The 10,970-nt window shown below is 39.3% G+C and overlaps 1 annotated feature.

Moving 5' to 3' along the window:
- Nucleotides 8,098-8,599: an enhancer, noted in NCBI's record as "NANOG hESC enhancer chr3:179852449-179852950 (GRCh37/hg19 assembly coordinates)". NCBI's record gives its function as "activates a minimal SCP1, AML or CMV promoter by ChIP-STARR-seq in naive H9 embryonic stem cells {active_cell/tissue: H9 hESC(naive)}" and the evidence as "EXISTENCE:reporter gene assay evidence [ECO:0000049][PMID:30033119]".

The following is a 10,970-nucleotide window of genomic DNA, read 5'->3' on the forward strand; positions in this document are numbered from 1 at the left end:
GAATTGGTTTTATTGATGCTTTGTCCCTGAAGTCAGGAAGTATCTTGCCAGTAAGGGACTGGCTTTTAAAGTTCTTTTGATATTGGACAATACTCTTGTCACCCAGAACCCCATGAGTTCAACACCAAAGATGTTGAAGTTGTCTACTTGCCCTCAAACACAACACCTCTAACTCAGCCTCTAAATCAGGGGTTTATAAGAACCTTTTAGACTCATTGTATACAGTACTCTTTGGAAAGGATTGTTAATGCTATGGAAGAGAACTCTGATAGAGAGAACATCATGAATGTCTGGAAGGATTACACCTTGAAAATGCCATCATTGTTATGGAAAAAGCCATAAAAGCCATCATTCCCCACACAATAAATTCCTGCTGCAGAAAGTTGTGTCCAAATATGGTGCATGACTTCACAGAATTTACAACAGAGCCAATCAAGAAAATCATGAAAGAGATTGTGGATATGGAAAGAAAAAGTTTGTGGAGGTGAAGTGTTTCAAGATATGGAGAAAGTTAAGAGCTAATAGACACCACACCAGAGGAATTAACAGAAGAAAACTTGATGGAGGTGAATGCTTCCAAACCAGTGCCAGATGATGAGAAAGAAGACATAGAAGAAGCAGTGCCAGAAAAAATATTCAACATTAATCAATCTGGAAGAAGGGTTTCAATTATTAAGGACTGACTGACTTTTTTTAAAGACATTGACCCTTCTGTAATATGGGTGCTGAAACTAAAGCAGATGGTGAGGAAGGATTGGTTGCATATAGAAACATTTTTAGAGAAATTAAAAAGTAACAATTAAGACAGAAATTACAATGTATTTCCTCAAAGCGACACCAAGTACGCCTGCTTCTTCTGCCTCCCTTTTCACTTCCTCCACCTCTTCTGCCTCTGCCCCTGAGAGAGCAGGACCAACCCCTCCTCTTCCTTTTCTTCCTCAGCCTAGTCAATGTGATGAGACAAGGATGAAGACATTGATGAGTGATATGGCTCCAATGAGTGGAGGAACACCAGATTCTTGGTCCTCATGCCGGTTTAGATAAAATGACACAGAAACACGTGGAGTGGTTTTAAGGAGTGGAGAGTTTAATAGGCAAGACAGAAGAGAGAAGAAAGAAGGAAGAAGCTCCCCTGTACAGAGACAGAGGGAGGGGGTTTCCAAACCTTAAAGAGGAGGTCCCCACCTGCCAGGGATACCAGCCAGGTATATACACAGAGGCTGGAGGAGTGAGTGTCTGATTTGTATAGGGCTCAGGGGATTGGTTTGACTAGGCATGTCATTTGCATAGCCCGTGAAAAAGCTGGCACCTCCCACCACAGCCTTTTAACATGCAAATGCTTGGGAGGCTGAGGTGGGCAGATTACGAGGTCAAGAGATTGAGACCATCCTGGCCAACATGGTGAAACCCCATCTCTACTAAAAATATAAAAATTAGCAGGGGGTGGTGGCGCCTGCCTGTAGTCCCAGCTACTCGGTAGGCTGAGGCAGGAGACTCACTTGAACCCGGAAGGTGGCAGTTGCAGTGAGCCAAGATGGTGCCACTGCACTCCAGCCTGGCAACAGAGTGAGACTTATCCCCCACACCCCCCCAAAAAAAAGCAAATGCAGGGCACCATGATGTTCTACCCACGTGGGGATATGTGGGGGTGGCCATGTTGCCAGGAACATGTGGGGCAAGGGCAAGAAGGCCATGGGAATCACCATGTTGGGTGGACCCAGTTTCTAATGGCTTGCATTTGCATATCAAAGGTTGCCAGGTTGGCTCTAAGAGCCGGGGCTTTACAGGAAACTTTCCTGGAGCAGCTTTAAAAATGAAAACTTCCTAAGGACCCATTTTTCTATCTGCCTAAAATAAGTTCTTAACAAATCCTACAACACGAGGACCCACTTCCACTTAATAAATAATAAATATATTTACAGTTCCTTATGATTTTCTTAATAACATTTTCTTTTCTGTGGCTTCATTGCAGGAATACAGTGTAATACATAAAATATGTATTAATTGACTGTTTATGTTATTGGTAAGGTTTCTTATTAACAGTAAGCTATTAGTTGTTAAGTTTTTGGGGAGTCAAAAGTTATATGCAGATTTTCAATTGCATGGGGGGGGAGGGAGTTAACGCCTCTATCCCCCACACTGTTCAAAGGTGAACTGTACTTTGTGTCAGGGTGTGGGCTGGATTATCGAAGGAATGTCTTATTGAGTCTAAGTTTTAAGTCTTCCCTTTGTACTTTGCCTCAGAGAGGGTAACTTTGCATGCCCTTTTGTTCCTCTTGCAGTATTTCTCTGCTGTTACTCATTTTTCTAAGCTTGTTTAGCTGACATTGGGCAGTGATGGTTGTGAGAGGGTATAGTCTCTGTTTATCTGAATAACCCTCAGTTTTAGTATTGTCTGATGTCACTAAGTCTTGGGGGTATGACTTCTCAATTCTCTTGTCTCTCCTCTGGCAGTATTGTGAGTTTGGGACATTATCTTGTCCCTACTCCAGAAACAGGTTTTACTTTCCCATTCCCTTTCCCCAGCTGTAATGAGTGTTGTTATAAATAAAGTTTCGGTGCCACAAAAGGAATAGCACTTGAATATAAAATCTTCTTTTTAATTCTCAGCAAGGCAATGTACTTCTATAGAAGGGTGCGCCCTTACAGATGGAGCAATGGTGAGCATGCACTTTGGACAAGGGAAGGGAAGGGGTTCTTATCCCTGACGCACATGGCCCCTGCTTCTGTGTTGTTCCCCTATTGGCTAGGGTTAGACTGCACAGGCTAAACTAATTCCAATTGGCTAATTTAAAGAGCGACAGGGTGAGTGGTTTGGTGGGAAAAATGGTTACGGCAGAGCAGGAAATAGGAATGAGTCAGGGTGGAGAATGAGCAGGTGATTGGAATGAGTCAGGGTAGAGCAGGTAATCAAAAAAGGTTGCTTTATGAGGAAGTTAAGTTTAAAAGAAGAAGGCAAAGAATTGAACATATTGACATATTGATTCTTTGAAGAGAAATTTAGAACTCATATCTAACAGTGTTTAACAATGTCCTAAGAGCAGGGTGCTTGTTGCCTTTTAATCAGATTAAGGCTCTCATTCTGTAGTAGAAATATGAGGAAAGATCCAGTTATATATATTTTTTCCTCCCCAGCTCTACACCACAATAGTTTAAAAATATTTTACTAGTAAGTTTTTCTCAAGTGTCCTTAAGATGTCCACTTAAAAGAGAATTGTTACCAAGAGTAGGTAGACTGTTAAGTGCTTAATATCCTTAACATATCGAAGTAGTGAATTACTTTAATAGACACCTTAATATTAGATCATTCTTTCAATCTTGAATAATTCCTTAAGCATAAAATATTGTTTTGTCATAGTTTAGTTATTATTTTATATAATTCTGGATCTATATATGTAGGTGAAAATGACCCATATTTTTCTTTTTTTGTGCTATTCTTGCCAGTTTTTTGCATTATGTATAATATGAGTTGAAAATTGTCTTATCTTTTTCTGTGCTGTGGAACAGTTTATATTACATAAAAATAATCTCAGAACTGCTATGTCTACATTGCATCCTCTTGTGTAGTTACCTAGGTGATAGAACACTTTTCTAGCCTGTGATTTTCTGTTCAATTTTCTGCAGCATTTTTATTCCTATCGTTAGGATGACCATATAACTTATCATCCCAATGGGGACATCTTTGAGTATGAAAGGATGCACCATTAATAATTATTATAGCAGGACAACAGGTGTAAATCATGGTGTTGAAGTGCAGCAACCAACAGTGAGCACATCCCTACGTGACTGCTTCAATGTTGCAATACTTAAAGGCAGTTAAGTATTAAGTATGATTCCAAGGGAGAAAATAAAAGGAAAAAAAAGAGAGGTGAGGAAAAGAGGAACAAAGTATCTCAAAGCTCAAATATGTGTTAAATCCCTCCTTAGTGATTAATATTCTGATGGAGATTGGAGCAGGATGGGGAAAGAAATAGAACATCAAAAATGTACAAGATATTGCTTCTGAGAGGGTTCCCAGTGTAATTACAGAAAGAAAATTAATACATAGGAAAGAGCTGTAGAAGATAAACTGTTGTCATGTTTTAAATTGTGAAAAAAGAGTGTGTGTGAATCAAAGAAAGGGGTGATAAGTGAGACAGAGGACTGCTTATGTACTCAAGGAAGCTTTTAATTTTTTTGTTTTTGTTTTTTAATTAGAGACAGCCATAAGTACTACAGAAAAAGGAATTTGTATCTGCATCAAACTACCTAGCATAGTGCCTGCTTCATGATGTATGCTTGATAAATTGTGGTTATTACTGTCAGTTCTCTGAGCCCAAGCTAAGCCATCATATCCCCTGTGACCTGCACGTATACATCCAGATGGCCTGAAGCAACTGAAGATCCACAAAAGAAGTGAAAATAGCCTTAACTAATGACATTCCACCATTGTGATTTGTTCCTGCCCCACCCTAATTAATACTATATATTCTCCCCCGCCCTTAAGAATGTACTTTGTATGCCTATCCCAAACCTATAAGAACTAATGATAATCTCACCACCTTTTGCTGACTCTTTTTTCGGACAGCCCGCCTGCACCCAGGTAAAATAAACAGCTTTATTGCTCACACAAAGCCTGTTTGGTGGTCTCTTCATACGGACGCGCATGACAATTATTATTATATTAGACCACTTAAAGAATTTAAACACTGAAGGAAGAAAGCAATGACATATGAATTTGCATTTGAATATGCCTTGCTTAGAAAAATTGCATTGCTCACATTCTGTTAGGTTTAGATTATTCATTCATTCACTGCATTTCATTCACTGAACTCTTTAAGATGCTTATTGTTGAATAACTGAATTCTATTATGCTAATTGTTAGAAATATGTAGATAAAAAATCTGACACACCCATCCCTGAACAGTTAATAATCTAGCAAGACCTACTTTGGTATATGTAGTGAGACAAGAATCCAACACATTCTCCAAGAGACATAATAAATGATTTATCTGGAAGAGAGATAACTACATAGTGCAGTAGTAGTAGTTTAGCCTGAGAAGTCAAGGAAGTCTTTCTAGAGTTATGGTTGACCTATGCTCTGAAGGGCTTATAGGAATTCACCAGACAGAGAAGAAAGCAGAGAGAAAAGTGGGCAGAGTATTCCAGGGGAATAAGTTGAGAGAAGGCCCACAGGAATGAAATACTTCTGAGAAATGTCAAGCAGCCAGAAGGACAGACCATAGAGTATTGAGGGAGTAACTGGAAAAGACAGACACTGGAAGAGAATGTAAGGCCAGAGGTAAAAGGTTGGGTTTCTTTAGTAGTTACTAATGGCCAAGTTTGAGTCTATTAAAATTATAAGCAACTGTTTTGTGGTGATGGCAGAGGGAAGAAGGTTCTTCACTGTGTCCTCAGAACTATCTAAGCAATACCGCATTTGCATCCTATGAAGATGCCCTCGATTCCATTAACTATACATCTATATTGAATTATAGTTTATAGTATTTTTAGCTATTAAAGCTCCACATTATTAAGTCAGGAAGTGTGTCCATATTATATAATTCTATATCAAAGCTGTTCCAAAATTACCCTTAATAGGAGTTAAATCAGTGATCTCAATTTACAAAGATCATTAGAAGCTTAATTGCAAATCACATTAGTGTTAGAGGCCATGTGGAAGTTTAAGTCTTTCAATATACAATAATGTGACTCTGAGATTTAAAAAAAAGAGGCCCAGAGTGAAAATCACACACCAAAGAAACCATTTCAGAAAGACAACCTCAATGAGTAAGAGAAAACTGATTTTGGAGAACTCGGAAGTTGCTAGAACACTTCTGAGTGTTTAAAACACAGTCATTCTAGGTATTAGAATTATAAAATACTTGCAAAAAATATTACTTCCATCACCTATAAAATGAATATTTTTTAGTTGTTTTTCCATAGCCAGATTTTTCAACTATCCTCCATAATGTCTGCAATGAATCTATTGTCTATCTTGGAAGCTGAAAGTTACTCTGAAGTGATGCTTTCTGGAAAGACCATCATTTCTTCTCCCCAAGCCCATGTCCCAATCCGTGAGGCATCAAATCAAGGTAATGTTTCATTAATACTATAGAGCACATAATACCTATAATGTTCCACAAACACTGTTCTGGTACATGGGATACATTTGTGAGCAAAATAATTTCTATTGTCATGAAAGTCACATTCCAGAAAGAGATTTATGCAATACGCGTATCTAAACATATGTGTTGTCACCTTGGTTTCAGAATTATCTTTTAGTCCAAGTCTTCTCGAACTTGAATATGCAAAGGGTCATCTTGGAAATCTTGCAGATGCTGGTCAGTAGATCTGGGTGGGGCCTGATACTAAGCCTTTCTAAGATAGTGAGTGATGCTGGTGCTGCTGCTGTTACAGTCTTGTCAATGCACCACAATGTGGCAGTCTCTCATGGTTTGAGGTATCACCTGGAGTTCTTTGTCTCACGACCAAGAAATTTAAGGAGCATGGACACCAAGGATGAAGTTGCAGTGAAAGTTTAATAAGAGAAAGAAGAAAGTTCTCCACTGCAGAGAGGGGGCTAGAAAGAGGGTTGCCATTTTACGTTGAATACAAGGACTTTTATAAACAGGCTGGTGGGCCAAGATGCTTTATTTGCATAAGGCAAAAAAAAAAAAAAAACTCATCAGGACTAAGTGTTTCATTTGTATAGGGTGTAAATTCCTGACAGTTCCACCCTGTCCCTCTAGTGCACATGCGGGCTCTTAGCCTGAGTTACTCCATGTTGTTTAACCTCCCTTACCGTGCATGTGTCAGGGGGCGGAATTTTTAACTGTGGACATGCCTGGTTCTGTATATCTTATCTGTGCATCTGCAGGCATGTTTTAGGCAAAACCCCCTGTACAAGTTTCCTTATCTGAGTATGCCCCAAAAAGGAAAGGGAAATGCACACTGAAGCCCACCGTGTATATCGTGAAACTTACTGGCTTCACAGAAGGCTTTTTTTTTTTTTTTTTTAATGTTGGACCTTGCTTTTTTATCTGTGCTTGTAGCTTGATCTTCCAGGCTGCTCTTTTTGTTAGAAAATAATTCTTCTGAGGACTTGTCCTAAATATCTGCCTAACTTGCTCCTTCCGCTCTCCTTTCTCACTGGTCCATGTACCACATTTGATAGCAAGGTAACTGATGATTTCTCTCTGTTTACTATCCAGGAAAAAAGTTGAGAAAAATCTTCTAAGGAAAAGAAGAAAAAAAAAGAATATATATATTTTTTTGAGACGGAGTCTCGCTGTGTCCCCCAGGCTGGAGTGCAGTGGCGTGATCTCAGCTCACTGCAAGCTCCGCCCCCCGGGTTCACGCCATTCTCCTGCCTCAGCCTCCCGAGTAGCTGGGACTACAGGCACCCGCCAACACGCCCGGCTAATTTTTTGTATTTTTAGTAGGAACGGGGTTTCACCGTGTTAGCCAAGATGGTCTCGATCTCCTGACCTCGTGATCCGCCCGTCTCGGCCTCCCAAAGTGCTGGGATTACAGGCATGAGCCACCGCGCCCGGACAAAAAAAAAAGAATATTTTTAATCGTATAACCTTGAAAAGCTTATATGATTTAATCTTCTTTTAGAGATTCATAATGAACATTACCATATGAAAAGCTCTGACAATTTTTCAATAAATAAAACTTTAACTTTTTTTTCCCTAAAGTGTCCAAAAGACATTTGTCCAGGAGTCACTTTAGTTTTCACTTGAGGGACTCTTCATGTTTGCTGTTAGCCATCTACAGATTTTTCTTTTACTTACCTGTTATCAAATAATTTTCCATTTTGGAATCAAAGTTGTAAGAACCAAAAATGGAATTAGCTGTGGTTAAAATTAAAATTACTTATAGATAATAATGGGATTTGATGAGAAACCCTTGGAAAAAAATAATCTTGTTGACAAAAAATAAGTCTGAAAATTCTAGAGCTTTACTGCCCTTTGTAGCAAGATAAAAAAAAAAGAATAATAAATATTAACATTTCCAGGACCATAAAACTACAAAGAATGAAGAGATTCTTTGAGGCTAGATAATTGTGGCAAATATCTTATGCAATTTTAAAACTATTTATCTTGTTTCTTGTTACCATGATCACAGTTTCTCTTTTTTCCATACTTAAGAAGAACAAGAAGCTCTCTGGGATATTCCACTGTTTAACTACAAAGTTTACAAAATATCTTAGGAAAAAATACCTAATTGTGAGGCTTGCAATAACCATAAATCTTAGGTAATATATTGATATAAGGAATCTTATTTGTTTACTTAAGCTGTAGGTAAACTCCCCAGGCTTGTGTTAATTTTAGCCCACTCCTGTAAACAAGCTCTTCAAAAGCCTGGTGTCAATTAGCTCACTATACTACATATTGTGTGGATTGTTTTGTTACTGAGAAGTACTTTACTATAGGTTACTTCCTCTCTGCAGGCCTGATGGAAATAAAGGGTGCCTCTAACAGAGTTTGATCCAAACACAATGGGAAGCTACATCCTTCCACCTGTATAGTCCACAATTTTGTGGATATTTGAGACTGATCCACTCCACAGTTGGATGTAGAAGGTACAAATGTAGTAATGTGACTTGCAGAGCAGCACCTATCTCACCCCTGCTGGAGCTTAGAAAATGATATGCCAGAGTAGGGCACTTTGACATGCTGAGGACTTTGAGCTTTTAAGAAGCAGCCTCAGAATCAGGCTCTCTGGCCCTCTCCCACATCCGTCTCTCACCCCTCTACCTCTCCCAAAGCACAGGAAGAAACTTTCTCTGAAGTTCCCTTACCTGACTGAAGGAGGTTCCTCCAGAAGAAATGCAGTTTTCTGGGACATCCTCCCTATATATAATCTCATCAAACATAGAACATTAACTCGAAGAAGGGAAGATTACAGTTGACACCACACCTGGAGCCCAGATAAAATTTGTCCCAGGCTATTGTCTGTTCTTCAGGCCCATTCTCACCCCAAACATAATTTACTCTTCCTTTAAAATTGCCTACAACCCCTACTTCCCTCTCCCCTATGAAGAGGATATTTTACCTTCAATCAACTGGTCTTTCTTTGATTTCCATACTTTGTGTGATGTGGTGTACTTGCACATTAATACATTTGTATGCTTTTTCTCCCATTAATCTGTCTATTGTCAGTTTCTTTGTCCACTCAAATTACCAGATCTTCAGGGAATGGAAAGAAAGTTCCTTTCAACCCTACACCTCTAACACTGAGGGGTAATGGACAGAGGTAAATAATGTTGTTAGTGTCCCTTTACTGTTGTGAAAGAAAAATATCTTTGATACCCAAAATCACTAAGCTAAAAGGAAAATTCAAGCTGGGAGCTGCTCAGGGCAAACCTGCCTCCCGTTCTGTTGAAAGTCATCCCTCTGCTCACTGAGATAAATCTGATTGCGTCCTTTGTAAAGGCTAATCAGAAACTCCAAAGAATGCAACCTTTTGTCTCTCACCTACCTGTGACCTGGAAGCCTCCTCCCTTCAAGTTGTCCTGCCTTCCGGACTGAACCAATGTTCATTTCACATATATTGATTGGTGTCATGTCTCCCTAAAATGTATAAAATCAAGCTGTGCTCTGACCACCTTGGGCACATGTGAACAGGACTTTCTGAGGCTGTGTGACAGACACACATCCTTAACCTTGGCAAAGTAAACTTTCTAAATTAACTGAGACCTGTCTCAAATTTTCAGGGTTCACACTGTCTACAGAGACTGGAGGTGGCAGGCCTGGCCCCAATGGGACAAATGCTTTACTTTTAAAGCTTCTGCTTGTGTGTGACTCAGGTAAGCGTAGGGGAGAAAAGATAATGTTTTCTTTAGCCTTCATAGTTCTTAGTTGAGATAGGCCCCTATAGAGCAAGACAGATTAACAAGAGAAAAACAAACATGTTTATTAACATGTGTATGTCATATATTTGTAATTGTAATAAGTCTGTTGTGCAATATGCACAGCAGGTCAATACACCAAAACAATGCGTTGCAGCAAAGAAAGACATTTAATTGTAGGGCTGGTGAATGAGCAGATGGGAGGACACCTCAAATCCATTTTCCTGAGGAGTCTGGGGCTACAGTTTTAAGGATTTTGGAGTGGGCTGACGTGTGGAGATCGTTCATAGGTCAAAGAGTGCAAGGAGAAGTCACGGGACAGGGAGCTGAAGAAATTGTATTCATGCTGATTCAGTTCCTCTGTGGAGGTCTTTAAACTGCTTGGCATCAGTTGTTCCACCCCAACTCAGGATCTACTTAAGGAATTCTTAAACAAAAGTCTTATGATTCTAATGTCATAAATCCTATCTATAGAATAATGGGGATGCAAATGGTCAGTATCTAGTACTATGTGACTTTCAGTTACAAGGCTGTGGGTCAAATGTAGCCTGAGTAATGCTTCATTATAACAATATTTCAGTCCAGAAATCTTGTTAAACCTGTGAAGATAGCTTCATATACCTGGGAGATACCCAGAGAAATGAGTAAATCTCAAACAGGTGGCTTTGAGTTCAGGCTTAAATAACATCCTCTGCTGAAACAAAGAAGAATGTAGGGAAGGCAAGGTTATGGGGAAGTGGCCAGAAAAAGCACTATAAACAAGGGTAAGGCTTGCTTGCAGATTTATGTCAGTGCCTTCTCTGTTTATGAGTCTCTAGTGATTTAAAGTCATCCTTCTCTTCATGGTATAAAGAGGGAGACATGTTTACAAATGGAGATTTCCTTTATAGATGTCAATTTCTCTTATAAAAGATAACTTCTGTTTTCAGAGCTTCTCCCATCGCTGCAGTTTCTCAAAATAATCAGCTCAAAATAATCCTCATGCCACAGAGGCATTTTGGGGGTGGCATACCCTAATCTCCAAAAGTCATACTTTGGGGTGACATATTTTGGTCTCTTTTATAGATATCAGGATGTTCTGTTGTTTGGCCGGGCTCCAAAATATATCTCATTCCTTTTTTCTTTTATTTAT

Source organism: Homo sapiens, chromosome 3 (genome assembly GCF_000001405.40).
Source record: "Homo sapiens chromosome 3, GRCh38.p14 Primary Assembly".
NCBI classification, from domain to species: Eukaryota; Metazoa; Chordata; class Mammalia; order Primates; family Hominidae; genus Homo; species Homo sapiens.